Source organism: Homo sapiens, chromosome 21 (assembly GCF_000001405.40).
Source record: "Homo sapiens chromosome 21, GRCh38.p14 Primary Assembly".
Taxonomy (NCBI): Eukaryota; Metazoa; Chordata; class Mammalia; order Primates; family Hominidae; genus Homo; species Homo sapiens.
In genome coordinates, this window is record NC_000021.9 from 14,449,287 (window position 1) to 14,467,837 (window position 18,551).

Genomic DNA, 18,551 nt, shown 5'->3' on the forward strand with positions numbered 1-18,551 from the left:
TGGGATTACAGGCATGCGCCACCACGCCTGGCTAATTTTTTGTATTTTAAGTAGAGATGGGGTTTCTCCATATTGGTCAGGCTGGTCTCAAACTCCTGACCTCAGGTGATCTGCCTGCCTCCGCCTCCCAAAGTGCTGGGATTACAGGTGTGAGCCACTGCGCCTGGCCATGAAGTCTTATTTCATATTATACTTTTATTCATGTTCTAGAAGTGGGACTTACTCAGAAGTGTAAGCAACTGACTGCTATGGAGTATGACTGGAAAGTTCACAAGCTCACATCTGCCCTAAAATATCTCTCCACCTATCTGCCAAGATGCCATACTTTCTTTCAACCAACTTTAACATCTTATCTGTAAGCATACTAGAATTGGAAAAACAAACAAACAACAAAAAAACCTGGTTCAATTATTTCTATAACAGTGCCTTTCACTAGTGAGTGTGAAATCAGTTTTGCAGGTCAAAACCAGCATTTCAAATATGAAGTAGAAAAAATAAAATAGAAAATATTTAAGTGAAGTGCATGAAATTGGGGGAAATATTATTTCATGACATTTTGTTTCCATTTTTTTCTTTGTGTATGTGAGACCTCACATACTAAATCCTTATGAAAAATTTATTTCTTGGGAGATGACAGTGAAAAAAAAGGTTAAGAAGTAATCTTTTTTAAAAAATAACTTTATGCTTTTTGATTTGAGGATTGTTTTGACAATATGATAAAAGTTATGGTTCTTCTCTCAAAATAAAGGCACACAAATCTACACACCTATGTTTTGGGTACAAACGTAAAGGGCTGATAAACCATATGACTCTCATCCACTGTGCTCAAGTTGAGGACATCTGCTCTAGCTAAAAATGGCATGTATTCTCTGGAAAGGGAAGAAATGGCCCTGGAGATCTCTTCTGTGCTCTTGGCCTCAACATTTAAATATTCAGCCTGAATGCCTTTAGTATTTTAAAGCTAACAGCATAGCCTGAAGCGGATGAGATGATGAGATGTTAGCACATTTGGTTAATAACTTTTTATTAAATAAAGTAAAACTAAGTATATGGCGATGTTCAAACCATTCCACACCAGCTCCACTGAACTTACATTCCAAAGAGGAAGAAAGGCAATAAGCAACTAAATAATAAATGAATGAAGTAATTTCAGATAGGGTTAAGTGTTATAGAGGAAATAATTGGAATGATGAAATAGAGAAAACTGGAGAGGAGGTGCAATAAGTTAAGGAAGATACAGTAGTTTATTGTGAATGAAGGTCCAGGGAATGCCTCTTTTTTATTAGATATGATTACTGTACCAATATCTGTGGTCATGCCTCCTCTACCACATTACAACTATCAGTGCTTTACAATATTTCAAGAACTCCATGAATATTTGTAGATTGGTGACTTTATTTCAGAATTGATGGAGAAAATATCATGGCTAAGAGTATAGATTCTAGCATCAGACTGCCTAAGATTGGATCCTTGCTTTGTCCTTTACTGACAATGTAGTTGGAGGGAAGTTACTTAATCTTGTTGACTTTCTATTTCTTCTAGTTTATCTCTAAAATGGGAAAAATAGTATTACCTACATGATAAGGAGGATTAAATAGGTTAAGATATGTAAAGAGCTTGTGTATTACATTTTCTGGTTATCCACTCCAGAATTCAGTGGCTTCAAGTAACAGGCATTTTATGATATCTCACAATTTTCTGGGTCAGAAATGTAGGCAGATCTCAAAAGGGCAATTCTTCTCCTTCATTCTTCTGTTTCATCGGTTGGCCATTGGTGGTATTTGGCTGGCAAATGAGCTGGTTGGGAGGTCCAGGTGGCTTTACCCACATATCTAGCATGTGTAGGTATGACTGGAAGGCTGAAAAGATTGACCAGATGTCCTACTTGTGACCTTTCCAGCAGACCTTCTCAGGATAATCAGATTTCTTATGCAGAAGCTCAAGACTCTGAGACAGAGTGTTTTAAGAAAAGAGAAATAGGTGCTGCCAGATTTTTAGGGGCCAGGTCCAGAAACTAACACAGAGACAGTTTTGTCCTGTTCAACTCATCAAAGCCATTAGAGATACAACCCAGATTGAGGGAGGAATTCTAGATTCCATCTCTCTATGGGAAAAATATCAAAAAATGTATAGCCATCTTTAACCTGCCACACTATCTACAGCACTTAGAAAGTACTAGTTAAGACTCTAAGCTATAATTATTTTATCTTGTTTTTACCTTTCAAAAACTCTGGTTATGTTTATTTCAGATTGAGTAGCAAAATCAACCTTTAGCCTTGATTTCTCTTTACCTTTTCCGTCCCTAATTTTTAAAATAGCCCTCATCAGTAGGTGCCAGTTGGAGATTTAAAAACAGGCATGCCCTATACAAGCCAGTGAGTATTAATTGTGAGTGTTTCCCTCTCATGGTAGCAACAGTTTTTATTTATGTCATAAGTCACACATATCTTGGTTTCAGTATATTCATTGGTAGCCCATAATCCCACTAATATTACCACACAGCTGTGTGTGTTTCTTCTTCAGAGAACAAGGGAACAAGACTTAGCAGCAAGGTGATATCTGAGTACATTAAAATTCATAGTGAACAATAAAATGTTTCTTGACCCATATACGACTTGACTGAACCCCAGTTTGTTACTTTTTTCTCCCCAATATCAACAAAATCTTCCAAATTAAAACAGCAGAAACACAAAGCCACATAAAAAGTTGAACGAGTTCACATTTTAAAATTTCTTGTAAAAGACTGATGATTGTGTGACCTTAATCTAAACAGACATTTCCTGTAACCGCTTATGCCCCATAAGGAATCTGCAGCTAATAGGGCCTCTGCATTCTTATCTATTGGCTTGGCTGTCTGAATGAGTATGTATTTGCTTTGACCATCTGCTCCTATCCCTCATTTTTTATTTAATTTTTTTTCAGATTTAATACTGTCCTGAGGTACACAAATGCTCTTTTTGGTTTGTGAAGCTCAAGGTCAATTTAAAGGCAAGTCCCTAGAGAAGTGAGCATTTGTGACTAGGTCATCTATTTCCCTGAATCTGTTACAGCTTTTGAGACGTATGTAAGAAGGAGAAAGCAGATAAGCCAAATTGGTTTTTGAGACGAGGGGCACCTACAAATGTAGCACTATTGACCATGAAAGTGTAGCATAATAGTATTTATTTGGAAAAAGATCCATTTGATCATTTTATCCTCTGGGAAGCTACAATGTCTACATCTTTCTTTTATTAAAAAGTTCGTTAGAATGTAACCCATTCCACCCTCTTCAACCACACCCCCGCCCACGCAGCCCCGGTTTTGTCTATTAAACAAATTCTGTTTTGAGATCATTTTCCCTAAGTTTCCCAGAATTACTACTCCCCCCTCTCAAAACTGTTTTAATTTGTGTAACAAGGCTACTCCAGAGGGATATTTGCTAGCAGGAGTATTGATCCAGTAATGGAGTTGCAGTTCAATTGCGGTGACAAGAAGCCCGATTTTTTTTTTTTTTTTTTTCCTTTAAGGATGATCAAGATATTTAGATTCCAGAGGGTAAAATTTGCACATGAAATCACCTGATTTTCCTCGTGACATTACGTTTTACTGCTTAGGCAATACACTTGCCTTAGCAGTTTGTTAGAAGTTCACACATTTGCACCTTTTAAATAGCTTTCAAAAAGAAGGCTGTGATTCTCTCTCGGGGAGAGAAAAATTGCCCTCTCACAAGTGGGAAGTTGATATTCCTTGGAGACCACCGGTCTTCTCATGTGTGACATTATTCCCATTCTCATACTGAGACTCTTACAGACTTTATGTGAAGCACAGTGTGGTGGAAGGAACACTAATGAGGAGCCAGGAGGCCTGGCTTTCATACTCTTCTGCTCTTCATCAGCTGCTGATGCTGGACTAGGCACTTAACCTTTCTGACGGTCCTCTTCCTCTGCCATTTTAAAACAAGCATAAGTTGCTATGTGATCTTACGGGCTCCTTTCCATTCTAAAAGACAAACCAAGGTATAACAAGCTTAAAATATTAATAGCTTTGGTATGAGTTGAAAATGGACAGTGTCAAAAAAAAAACTTTAAATCATTTTTGTTTTAATGTATTCCTTAATGCTAGTGTGAGAAACTCATTTCTTTCATCTGAGATTTTTAACCAAAAGCTGGCCCTGTTGTCCTCACTTCTGATGAGACAATCTGAGAACCTTGCATAGGGTGTGGATGTGGAACATGTTGAGCTGATGTCAGAGTTTCAGTCACCTTTACACAGCAGCGTTTCCCATCAGACTGATGTTCACACTTCTATTTCTGGCAGCAACCTGCTTGGCCACAGGGTTTGTACAATTTCTCTTTTTTTCTCAACACAGCAATTTCCCAGTGCATGTAAACTCTGTGTTAATTATTTTGGCTATTAACTAGGAAAGAAGAAAAGCTCACATTTGCTAAATCCAGAATGACGGAGTGGATTCAGAAGTGCTCTCTCAACAAAGTGGTTTACACTCTGGAGCTAATGCAAACTCTCTTTGTTTCAATGTATTGCTCGCAAATATTGATTAATCATTTTTCTTTATTAGCTTATGCCCTCTTGGTGGTATAATGCATTTGACTTTCCTTCTGTCTTCCAGGAGAGTGGGATATTATAAACCTGAGCTGACACTTCAGCAAAAGGGTTCCAGAGGTTTCTAGAGATGGGGAAACAGATGATTAATGTCAGTCTCCTCTAATAAAAAATAAACGTTAGAGAGAGAGGGTGTGTTTTTTCTTACGTCCTTTAAAACCTTGTGCTATGAGTATGCGACAGTAGTGAGGCAGAAGACACTATGGTGAAATCATTCAGTTCAGGAGGCTCATTCTTCTATTAATTCCACAGTGCTTCCTGGACACAGTTTTCTGTGCCTTTTAAAGAAGGGCCAGAGGCCTATTCTAAAACCTGTATGGCTGTCAAATAAATATCACTGTGCCGGCAAAAGAGAGATTCTGGTTGAGGCCTTTCCCTCTTAACTACCTAAGGACTGTATATTTTTAGGTACAAAGGAAAGAATTAAGCTGCCTTTTGTGTCCCAGTTGATAAGCATAGTCTTAACAGTCAGAACTCTCTGGCTCTAAGCATGAAAAGAAACTTTTAGTTTACACATAAAAGGGGTGCTTCACACACAGGACAAGGAAATGGGAAGTTATAAGGACCCCGGACATTATCTCCCTGTACATCTGTTTTCTTCTCAAGCTGGTTTTTATCACTCAGTCAACACCATGGGGAAGATAGCCACTTCACAGGCCTTGAGATCTCTATCTTATTTTAGGAAAACGGAGCATACTAAACCAAGGGCGTTTCCCTCTCAGTTCTAAATTCAGCAGGAGAGGATTTTATTGTCTCAGCTCATGTCAAACAAGTACTTTTCCTTGAATTAATTAGGGGAAGGGGGTTTGGTAAAGAAACATATATGTGGCTGCCAGGAAGATCCTCTCACTGCCTCTTCATCTTCTCTACCACTATGAATGAAAGAAGCCAGTCAAGAATGATTACCTAAAGGACCTTTGACCACTGTCAAAGACCTGAACTTTCATAGCCACACCCGAAAGTAAAACACAACGTATGTTCTCAATTGATCTGCCTTGTAGATGCTTGTCAAGAGGGGTTTTACCTTTGTGCCAATATAGAAAGTAGGACCCAAAGCTGTGGACAAGACATACTCTTATTACCATTTCTTTGAAATTTAGACACTGTTACTGACTTTTTACTGCAGAAGAGAGGGATTTTACTCCCCTTCACAGCCGACATCCTTACCACACCAACACTCATGCCTGTTCCTCTCTCCTATTCCCACATTTATATGCACCACTGTCACACAGCACATTTCCTGTTTCCACAATATCAATTTTGGATAGAACAATAATTCGTGTTTATATTATTATTAATATGTAAATGTTATTTACATAGAACTATGTAAAATATAGCATAAGCCAGAATTGGTTAATCCATACTGTAGTAACAATCAACACCAGAATTTCAGTGGCTTTCCGTCGTGCAAAATCAGCTCCAGGTTCAAGTGACTCTCCAGGGCATTTGTCCTTCATGCTTGACACAGCTATCCAGAATGTTCTGATCTTGTGGCTGCACCCACTCAATAATAATTTCAAAGGGAAAGGAGAGAGAGAAGGGAGTGGAAAATCCAGGGGCTTTTCATTGCTTCAGACCAGAAGTGATCATTTGTTATTTTTGCTCACACTTAATTGACTCAAACTAGTCACATGGCTTTGTCTAATTGCATGGATATTGGGATATGAAATTTTCAGGAGGGAAAACTGAATGGGATATTGGTGATGTCTATTACATGTCAGATTACTTTTTCTCTTTTTTCCACTTTTTGTTGAGTTTAAAAATTCCTGAAGGTTATACTTATTTTGTTATTTTGTTTACTCATATAAAATATGAGTTTCATCTACTTGACCATATCTCCCCTTTAGCATTTTGACCAGTTTCAATCTCGACTGGGTTTTCTCCATAACAGTTTTGGAGTTGTTTTCCTGGGACTCTTTCTGCCTCTCACTTTGAGTTGATCCCAAATATTCCTCTTTTGGTTTTACATCTTCACTTTGATGGAGCATGTCGTACATGATTTCTTGAGATGGGTACATTGGAGGTAAATTTTTCAATAACTCATATATCTAAAAATGCATTTCTAAATTTCATTTTTATATCTAAAAATTTCTTTATTTTACATCATTTTATTTTTACTTTGAGATTGTGGCTGGATATAAAAATCTAGTTTGAAAATAACTTTTTCACAGGATTTTAAAGGCATTTTTTTGTTTTATCTCTTGTAAATAGTGCTTCTGTGGAGAAAGAGCATTTTTATTCTGGTATTTTATGTCTTTTTCTTTTTCCTTTTGAAACTCTTGTAGAATCTTTGTTTCTAGCATTTTGAAAGTTTGCAATGACGCTTAATGTGTATCCATTGCATTGGCCACTCAATGGGTCTTTCAAATTGAATGACTCTTCAATTCAGAGAAATTTATAGAAAACAAATTTAACTTATTTTTTTTCTCCTGTTAACCTTTTGGTATCTCCTATTTTGTGAATATTGTACCTCCTATACTGGTCCTATAATTTTCCTATCTTTTCTATTTTATATTTAGTTTTAAAATATCTTCTTTTAATGTTTTTACTTAATTTTTAATTTCTACTTTAATATTTTAGATTTCAAAAGTCTCTTTCTTATGGTTTTTTTTTTTTTGTCTTTTTTTTTTTTTTGGTAGAAGTGGCAGTTCTTGTTCCATGGATGAAATAACTTATCTTTTTTTCTCTGAGAATATTAATAATGCTTTTCCCCCATCTCCTTGAATAGATTCCCTTTTCTTCAAGTTTCATATTGCTGTTGGCTTATTTTGGTTCGTTTTTCATGTTAGAAACTTTCCTCAGATATCTTGTGATTTTTGGATGTATGCTTATGTATGAGGATTGCTCACTATAAAGCTGACTGGAATGTTTGTATGTATGTGTGTATGTGTGACTTATTGATTATAGGTTTAACTGTAAACTGTTCTTATTAGGTGATCTCATAGGGGATCCTAAATCAATAGGTTTAGATCTTTTTCTTGTAAATAGCTCAGATTCTTCGATAAAAATTCTCTCATGCATGGATGGTATAAATCTGTCTACCAGCATCCCTAGAGCTAGGAGGAAAAAATAGGACTGGGGATTTCAATATAAATGTATAGACTTTTACTTAGTTCCCATGTTTTCAGTACAGAATACTTGGTTCAAAGTTCTGGTATTGGTATCTCTTAATTCTGAATCGCTCTGCACTACATTCCACATTCTAAATCTCTGGTATTCTGCCAGTGTGAAAGTGGCACAGATCTTTGGCTGAGCAGCATAGAAGGGGAAATCTTGAAGTCTTATTGCCTCTCATACAGGCTTTCAATAAGTCCTCTTATTCCTAGTTCACATTCCCTTGTACTTCTACATGTTAATGGTCTCCCCTAGATTCATGAGATTTTTGAGAGTGTATGAAGCAAATTGAATAATTTTTTTTTCAAATCTACTTACTGCTAGCTTAGGATTTAGCTTCCTGGGGTCTCCAAATTATTTCTTACTTATTCTGCCTTCCCAAATGTTGTGATTATTGTTTTTTTCCCTATGCTGTTTTTCTAAGTTGGAAAACCCCTTATATTGACACTTAAAATTGTATTATGAAAATTTTCAAGCATGTACAAAATTTTTAAGCATGTAAAAAGTACAGAGATAATAATAATAATAAGCTTCTATGTACTCACTTAGCTTCAACAAGCACCAATATATTGTCAATGTATTAATCAACCCCTCTTCTCCTCCTATTCCAACTTCCCACTAGAATGTTTTAAAACAAATCCTAGACACACATAATTTAATTTATAGGTAATGCTCACATTAATGTAACAGGTAAAGACTTAAAAAACCTAATTGTAAAACAACATCAGTAATTATTTAAGATAACCTAGTACCAAAATCCATTTCAATTCTCTCTGATAATCAGAAAAAGTTGTCTTCTTACTTTTCTTTCTTTTTTAAAAAAATTAGAATCTTCATACTGTCTGGCTGATCAGCAAGCAAGCATAGTTGACCCAGTCATCAAACATGAGAAATATGACTGCTGTATCTCCACCCATTTCTGTGGAAGGTTGGTGGCATAGGTAGACATGACCACATGCCCACGACCACTTCAGGAGTCTTCGTTTAAGTCTTTTACCCAAGCACATTTGTTGACAGTGTCTTTAGTCATGCTCAGAAGTGTTATGATTTGGACAAGAAATTATGTAGTCACTCTACGCATATGGACAGGTCCTATCACCAATGGAGAAAGCCCATAAGGAATTTTAATACTTTATTTTCTCTACAAGTCTTAGGTCTTGCAAAGGCCCTACTTTTTAAAATGGGCTCACAATATCCATTCCTCTTCTTTTACCCACTTCCCATTTGAAGAGGGGATTGAATAGTCAGGTTACTTTCCTTTATAGTGTGTAGCATGCTCTTGAGGTATTGCTCAATGTCTTCAGTCCAGAACTTCAGTCTGGGCATGGAATTCTCATTCTACAACCCTAAACTTGAAACATTGACCTTGGGTACAAATGTGAGATTCACTAATTTGAGGGTGGAGATGATTCATAGTACAGTTATTATCATTCTTTAATTAATTACCTGAACAGCTCCTTGTGGCCTGTTCCATCTCCCAGACCCTGTGCCTTTTGTTCTTTGTGTGATTTGGTGCTTAAAAAAAAATCATTTATTTTGAGCTCTTCTTTGTTTGTAAAGGACTTATAGTTCTGCAGCTATGTTAGATTTCATTGTCAGTCTGTTCCCACTTGCTTCATATTATCTTCCAGGAATTCTTTGCTTTTCTGGTTTGTGGTGGTGTAACACCTGACTTTCAAGTGCTTTTATGAGTTTACTTTTTATCATTTTACTTACTGTGTCATTAGAAAAGGGATTTGAGGAAGCAGGGAAGGAAGCTTAACTCAAGAGTGTTCGGTAAGCCATCATGAATGAGAACCTCTATGTGTTTTTTCTTATTATTACAGACTTCTTGAAATTTTATTTCAATTTTTCTCCAGTTTTATATATATTATTTATTTTATATTATATATATAAACTTGCAGAGACAATCTTCCAATAGAAAATCTACTGAATATGACAACAGATGTGCATAGTCATATGCGATCTATAACTGCTAAAATCTCTCACCCAAGAAAAAAGAGATGGGCTTATTCTCCACGATTATAAGGAGAAGTTCTACTAGAAAATTAGAATTCTATTCAAGAAAGATAGATAAAACTGATGTGATTCAGAAAAATGCAAATAAAAATGGTAATTAATTGCCACTACACTCTCACCAGAATGGGTAAATGAGAGAGACTGATATCACCAAGTGTTGGCAAGGATGAAGAGTAACCAGAATTTCTTTACCAGATGGTAGGAGTAAAAGCTGGTAAAAACCATTAGGAAAACTGGCATTGTCTACTAAATCTGAGCACACACAAATCCAGAAATTTAACTTCTGAGTTTATATCCTATAGAAATGCATATATAAGTGCACCAAAAAACACTTAAGAGAATGTTCATAGCAGTATTGTTTTTCAGAAGCCTGAAACTGGAAAGAACCAAATGTCCATCAACAGAAAAATGAATAAGCAAATTATAAATACCCATACATTAGCATACACAGCATATTAATACTATATAGCAATAAAAATGACAAACTGCTGCTACATACAACAGAGCTCAATCTCACAAAAGTTATGTTGAACAAAATAACAGACACAAAAGTGTACAAAATTGTATATATTGTATGATACCATTTAGAGAGTCTGAGAGGAATAAAAAGTAATCTATGGCATTAGATATCAGGACAGTAATTACCTTTGGGGAGAAGGAAGGATATTGGGTGATGGAAATGGGTACAAAGTGAGACTTCGGGTGTTGGTAATGTTCTTTGTTGTGTTATCATGGAAATTTTATGAGTGTGTTTAACTTTTGATAATTCATCAAATGATATACCAATTTTGTGCATGTATACAATTCTTCAATTAAAAAGCTCCAAAAGAAACCAACCTGCTTAAAATAAATAAATGTCATTATATCTAATATAAATGAACCGATCCAATTCCAAAATTATTACATTTCTGTATTAAGCTTATTAATACTCTTTATTTGCATGGTAGTCAACAATTTTCAGAGCATTCTTAAGTAAACTATGTCATTTAGCTTCATGCCATCATAATGAATTATTATACATTTAATTTTAGATTTGTTTAAAAAACTGGAATAATTCTTTCAGAGAGTTGCCCTGTGACATTTGTGGCAAATAATAGAGTTGAGACTAGAACCCAAGGCTATTGAGTCTTCACATACCTTTCACCGTACTTACTGATCCTGTAATCTCAGGATCTTGAATAGATTTTTTTTTTCTTATGTTTTATTCCCTCAGAATCTTTCTGTTAGACAGCGTATCCTAAAAAACCAAACTAGGCAATTTATTAGTGAATGTATGAGTAAATCACATTGTAAAATAGGTGCAAACCAAAAATAAAATTCCAAGCTCCCCAGCCAACTGACTGGAACCCCCTCTCAACCAAGGAGATTCCAAAGAAACCTGAGAAACTAGTTCAGGCCGTGATAGGAAGTGAGGGTCAGACGTGCTTCATTATACCCTGTCCCTTCTGGAGTGTTCAGGCACAACTGACCAGCATTAACATTAAAACAGAGATATTAAGACTGACAGAACAGACTCTTTGTAGCAAGAAGATACTAAATTCCAACCTGACTCCAATGTAGCATTACATGACAGATAGCAGATCCTGGAGGAAATATACATCCCAAAATATATTTCTTTGTCATATTTTGGAATGGACCCACAGAGCTGTCTCTTGTGAGGGAAATTTGAATTCTGTAAAGACTCTCCTTCCCTTATTAGGTCTTTACCAGAGAGTCTGGCACCTTTTAAGGCCCAATTAGAGACATTCACGTCTATTCTCTCTGAAGCCTGCTACCTGGAGGCTTCATCTACATAAGAACCTTGGCTTCCACAACTCCCACCACCCTTACCTTAACTCAAGCAGATTTAAACTCTTTAGACAAAGCTTAATTCTTTCAACCAACTGCCAATCAGAAAATCTTTTAATCTACCTATGACCTAGAAGCTCACCCTGCACCCCCTTCCCAAGTTGCTTCAAGATATCCCACCTTTCTGGGCTGAACCAATGTATACCTTACATGTATTGATTTATGTCTCTGCCTGTAATTTCTGTCCCATTAAAATGTATAAGATCAAGTCGTAATCTAATCACCTTGGGCTCATGTTCTCATGGCCTCCTGAGGCCGTGTCACGGGTCACAGTCCTCATATTTGGCTCAGAATAAACCCCTTCAAATATTTTACAGACTTTGACATTTTTCATCAACAGGAGCTTCTTTAAAAAATTCTCTCACCCACAGGTAAGATAGGTACCAAGGCAGCTTGATCACAGTGGTTTGGAATACTTTGTTTTCTGACTATGTTATTTTCAGATATGTGGCCTTCAGATCACATTATACTAGTGAGTAATTATGCTTGTATGTAGACTGAGGTTGGTTTGAGGGAAAACAATCATTAACAAAATAATGCATTTGTTACTTGGAATTCTAGAAGTTTTCTGAGCTCAAAGTACAGGGCAAGAGAAGTGGAAAGAGGTCAAATGTAGACATCTGAAGATATACTCATCTCGCCACAGGTATGCTGGGATTTTAAAGCACCATCCTGCAGTTTACACTTAAGTTCAACTACCTGATAGGAGGTATATAGTAGGAAGAGCATGGAGAATACATGTTCTAACTTGGGATGAGATTGGGAATGTTCAGGAGATGGAAGAAGTGGGAGGTAAAAATGAGAAAGCAAGGAGGCCAAATGTACTTTTAAAAGCCAGAGGGTTGTGCTCATTCAAACAACCGGGCAATCCTCCATTATCAAGAATGCAAGACCCATTGTCCTTTTCTTTCTCTTTCAAGTTCCTTGTAACTTAAGCTCCAAATTTTTTCTTCGTATCTTAATTTCCTCTTTAAGTTTTTCCTTGATTCTCTTAGTCCATTGTCTTCATGTGAATGATATGTCCTTGCTCTGGCTGTATTTGCTATACACTCTTGAGAGATTTCTGAATTTATCCTCCATTTCTAACCTTGGAAATCTACAAAGAGAGGCTTAAATACAACTAAGCCATGCCATATAATGACCAAAACAAACAAACAAACAAACAAACAAACAAAGCATGGCTAGGCACTGGTTTGTTTTGTTTATGTTTCCAAACAATTTTAGATTGTTTGGAAATTATGGTTTTATAAAAGGAAAATGAACCAACAATTTTACAGTGCTTTCTAGAATTTGTAAACATGAAAGACTTCTCAATGGAAATCAGTTTATAACTGTAACTGCCCAACGGGTTCACCTTGCCCACGGCCTAGAGAGAGCCCATTTATCAAGACAGGGGACTTGCAATTGAGAAAGAGTAATTCACGCAGAGGCGGCTGTGTGGGAGACTGGAGTTTTATTATTACTCAAATTGGTCTCCCTGAAAAGTCGGATACGGAAGGTTTTAAGGATAATTTGGTGAGTAGGGGCTCGAGAAGTGGGGAGTGCTGATTGGTTGGATTGGAGATTAAATAATTGGGGGTCAAAGTGGGTTCTTGATGGCTTCTGTTCCTAGATGGGATCTCAGAACTGGTTGAGCCAGATTACCCTTCTAGGTGGTGTCTGTCATCTGCTGCATTGGAGTGCAGGGTCTGCAAAAGATCTCAAGCATTAATCTTAGGCTTTACAATAGTGATGTTATTCCCAGGAGCAATTTGGGGAGGTTCAGACTCTTGCAGCTGGAGGCTGTATGACCCCTAAACCATAATTTCTAATCTTGTAGCTAATGCGTTAGTCCTACAAAGGCAGACTGGTCCCCAGGCAAGAAGGGGTCTTTTCGGGAAAGGGCTATTATCAAATTTGTTTCAGAATCAAACTATAAACTAAATTTCTTTCCAAGGTTATTTAGGCCTATGCCCAGAAATGAAAAAGGACAGATTAAAAGTTAACAGGAAAATGGAGTTGGTTAGGTCTGACCTCTTTCACGGTCGTAATTTCCTCAGTTATGATTTTTGCAAAGGCGGTTTCATAACATTCAAACTTAATGCCCATATGCTTCTGTCAGATCAACGGTATAATCAGGGAAATAGTTTACTAAGAATGCGTGTCACTCTAAAATGGTACCTGAACCTTTTGTCATCCACAGCATAATTTTAACAGCTTTGATAAGGGACATTTTTCCCAATCAACCTTTGCTACTCTGAAGACATGATACAAATTTTTGAGTAAACAATGTCTAAATCAAAGTGCAATGTTTATTCTCAAATACATATTTAAGTCAATGTAGTCTTTTTAGTTTGATTAGATGTGAATTTCTCATACTTTGTGCTATATTAAGAAATAACCATCTAAGTTTTTCTCTTTTTGTTCACCTAAACATTTTCTTCTCCTACATTAAGATACACAAAGGCAGTGAATTATAATTTGTTAATGGTGATCATAATAACTCAATACATGAGAAATTCAAATTTTTTTTCATTTCAATACAAATAAGTTTTCAGGACAGGCATACAGAGAAAAACTTGAGTGCATTCTGCTTTGTTTGGCTCATTTAGAAGAAAAACTGTAGCAGGTAAAATCGGTGGGGAAAAATTAGACAAGTTTATCTTTTAAAAATTATTTTCATTGTGGAATAATACATGTTCACATATAAAAGCACAGAAAGGCCTAAACAAGAAAAGAAATGTCTAGAGAACCATTATTAATATTTTTCTATTTCTGTATAGGTTCTTCCCTATATATACATACATATAGTGTGTACTTGGGTGCCTGTATTTCATATATATGCACACACATAGATATACACAGAAACACAGGATATGTATGTGTGTATATATGCATTCCTACAGCTATATATTCTGTTTTACAATTCTTAAAAATTAACAATAAAAGATTAGTAAATTCTAATGCTACAATATACAATCTGGAAAAAAGAAAAATCAACTATTCCTTTACTGCACATCTTATGTTATTAAGCATTTACTATATGTTGCTTCTGTACTCAGTGCTGTGGTCACAATTTCTGCCCTAGAGAGCCATCAATTTAACAGAAAGATTAAACAGACAATTTTGCAAGAATGATAAATTCTGTAGTAGAAGAATGCCCAGGATGATATGGGAACACACAGCAGGGAATTTAATTCATACTGGAAGTAACCAGGATGTTTTTTCAGAAAAGGTTCACATCTGAGCTACGTATTTAAGGGTCAGTATGAGTTTCGGTGAAGGAGGTGGGTCTAGATATGGGGAGGTAGGTGGCAGATCAGCTTGAAAGTTACGAGAGTAGAGCACATTAGAAAAAGTGAAGGCAGTCTCCCATCACCACAGGATAGGGTAACGAGAGAGGTGTGGTGAAGTGATGAATGATAAGGCTAGAGAATTAAGTAGGAACAGATAATTAAAAATCAGTGTAAGTGTTTGAATTTCATTCAGAAAGTACTTGAGAGCTAAGGAAACATTTTAAACTGGGCAGTGGTGTAATCAGATTTGCAATTTCGAATGCTCTACTGAGCAGTCTGGTGAGTGCATTGGAAAAGATGAAGTATAGAGTTATGGAGACTAGTGAGAATTGATAATGATTCTGTGAAAGGAGATAAATACATACATATACTGAAGAAGAGGCAGTGGGGAGGAAGGGGAAGGGGTAAACCTGACGGTTAAGTTTTGACAGTAATATTGCTGGGACTGAGTGATTGTGTGTGAAGTATGAAGGAGAGGAAAAAGACAATGGTAATATTTGGATTTATAATTTGAAATCTAGATGGATGATTGAGCACTGTAGAGAATAAGATTTTAGAAAGAAGATGAGTTTCATTTTGAACAGATTGGGTTTGAGATTCATGTGGAACATTCAAAATAAGTCATTAGGTAGAAGGGCTGAGCTGAAAATTTAGAGTGGCTTGGATGACAGATCAGTGTATCTCAACTTTGTTATACATAATAAACAGCTTTTAAAAAATTTTATCGTCTATGCTACATTCCACACCAACTAAATCAGAATCTCTAGGGGCAGGAACCAAGCATTGACATTTCTTTCTTTTTTTTGTTAACTTTTATTTTAAGTTTAGGAGTACATGTGTAGGATGTACAGGTTTGTTACATAGGTAAGTGTGTGTCACGGGGTTTGTTGTACCAATTATTTCATTACTCAGGTATTAAGCCTAGTATGCATTAATAATTTTTCCTGAGCCTCTCCCACCTTCCACCCTCCACCCTCCAACAGGCCTCAGTGTGTGTCATTCCCCTGTATGTGTCCATGTGTTCTCATCATTTAGCTCCACTTGTAAGTGAGAATATATGGTATTTGGTTTTCGGTTGTGCATTAGTTTGCTAAGGATAATGGCTTCTAGCTCCATCCATGTCCTGGCAAAGGACATGATCTTGTTTTTTTTATGGCTGTGTAGTATTACATGATATATATGTACCACATATTCTTTATCCAATCTATTATTGGTGGGCATTTGGATTGATTCCAAGCCTTTGCTATTGTGAATAGTTCTGCAGTGAACATACGGGTACATGTATCTTTATAATAGAATGATTTATTTTCCTTTTGGTGTATACCCAGTAATGGGATTCCTGGGTCAAATGGTATTTCTGACTTTAGGTCTTTGAGGAATCATCACTGCACTGTCTTCCACAATGGTTGAATTAATTTAATTTACACTCCCATTAACAGTGTATAAGCATTCCTTTTTCTGCACAACCTCTCCACCATCTGTTATTTTTTGAATTTTGATAATAGCCATTCTGATTGGTGTGAGATGGTATCTCATTGTGGTTTTGATTTTCATTTCTGTAATGATCAGTGATGCTGGGCTTTTCTTCATATGCTTGTTGGCCACATGTATGTCTTCTTTTAAAAAGTGTCTGTTCATGTCCTTTGCCACTTTTTAATGGAGTTTTTTTTTTTCTTATACATTTGGTTAAGTTCCTCATAGAACGCACTGACATTTCAAAAACTCCTTGGATGGTTCCAGTGGGCATCCCAAGATTTAGAATCACTCTCCCAAAGAGATGACATAGACCAGTGGATCTCAATGTTGATTCCACAGTAGAATCATTTGAAGTGCTTTAAAAATTCTCAAGATGCAGGTCATGTCGTGCAAGCATTAAATGGGAGTATAAGGAGACAGAGCCCAGATAGTAATATTTTTGATACCAGCTTTATTGAGGTATAATTTGCATAATATATAATTCATCCTTTTGAGGTGTACAATTTGATGTTTTTTAGTATACTAAGTTTATATGGACAATTCATATCAGTGGTGTTATACGATATATGTTCTCAAATGTGGCTTTAATGTTGAATTGAAATAGGAATAACAAACATCCTTGTCTTGTTTCTGATCTTAGAGGAGAAGTATTCATTTTTTAATGATTAATTACAATGTTAGCTCTGGGTGTTGTTAGTTTGTTGCTATGGATGCTTGTTTGTTTATTGAGTTTCCTGAATTAATTGTGAAGAGTCTGATTTTCTGTCATGCATACCCCTCAATATCTCTGATCAGTTAGCTTAGCGGTCAGCTAATGACTTCACATAGATTTCTTTGAATGCATTAAACTAGTAAGTTGCTGTCATTTTGCTGAAGGGCTTTGGGCGCGTGTGTTTGAGGGGAATATTTCAACACTCCAGCAGGCAGTTTGAAAACTCTTCTTTAGCCTTCGTTTCCTGCTTGTGCAAAGCCTCAGACTTATCCACAGGTGAGAGATTAAGGCCTTCCCAGGTCTTTTCTGCGCTTGTGCACATCCCTGCAAGTGCATATGATCTTCTAGAGTTCCAGGAATATGTTAGATATTTTCAACACTCCATGTGAAAATCTCATCCCCTGGTTTTTTCTTTTAAAGTTTTTGGTCTGTTACTTAACCCAACTTGTGTCACTGCCTCAGCTGCACAATTGAATAATTGCCACTGATTGATTTTAACAAATTCCTTAAGGACAGGGCTGTTCATACCAAACGAGCTGCTGCCTCAAATTTGAGTCAACTGTCAGTCACATCAGATAAAAACAAGCCCTGAGAATGAAAGTGCTAGTGAGGTGAATAGTGACAGTTCTCTAGGGATAGGATTTTCCAGGAACTCCAAACCCATTCACTCCCTCCCAGTGGCTCCTAGGCTTCTGGAGTTTACAGTTTGTGTAGCTTTTGGTTGGAAGGCTACCATGGACATAGGGAGGGGGAATAGGGCAGATTTAAATGCCACAAAGCTTGCTGTTTTTACCAAGGGCCAGTTGATCTTCTGGAATAAATGTTCCTCAAATTCTCGCAAGCCTTTGCTTAATTGCTAGAGTTCTGGCAAAATTAATTTTTTTCCTTTTTCAGTAGTATTCGCTGTCTTTTTTTTTTTTTAATGGAGGAGAGGATTTATGGAGGTCTGCACTTTGCCATTCAAAAGGGTTTCCTATTATAATTTGTATACCACCTTATAGATACCCATGTTCAGGAAAAGTTGAAAAACACTGGTTTTTACAGAAAAGAAGATCAAGGGCCAGATTCTAGAAAACACAAACATTTAAGACCAGGAAGAGGAGGAGGAGCAAGAGCTTATAAATAAGGCAGATAAGGAATGGTTCTGAAATGAATGGGCTTATAAAAAGTAAAAGAGAAAAGAGTTTTAGGAATAGAATAATTAAAGCTATTGAATGCTGCCTACACAGATTAGAAAGTTGATTGAAAAATACTGATTTGAATTATCTACAAAAAAGTCACTGAGATTTTTTTTTAGAACAACTTCAGTGGAGTGATGGGGCAGAATCCTGACTACAGTTAAGTTGTTACATAAATAGGAGGTTAAAAAAGAGAAAATAATTATAGGTAACTCGGAAGGAGCCGGACTGAGAAAGGAAGGGGAGAGAATATAGGCTGGAACAAGACATGAAGTAAAGAAAGTTGCATTCTCCCAGGGCTCAGTTTAACTGCTCTATTTATTATTCATA

The 18,551-nt window shown here is 36.4% G+C and overlaps 2 annotated features.

The window, feature by feature from the left end:
• Positions 2,834-2,995: a transcriptional cis regulatory region, noted in NCBI's record as "candidate enhancer chr21.63 targeted for multiplex CRISPR interference". NCBI's record gives its function as "positively regulates SAMSN1 gene expression with high confidence in K562 cells {active_cell/tissue: K562}" and the evidence as "EXISTENCE:mutant phenotype evidence [ECO:0000015][PMID:30612741]".
• Positions 4,951-5,607: a transcriptional cis regulatory region, noted in NCBI's record as "candidate enhancer chr21.64 targeted for multiplex CRISPR interference". NCBI's record gives its function as "positively regulates SAMSN1 gene expression in K562 cells {active_cell/tissue: K562}" and the evidence as "EXISTENCE:mutant phenotype evidence [ECO:0000015][PMID:30612741]".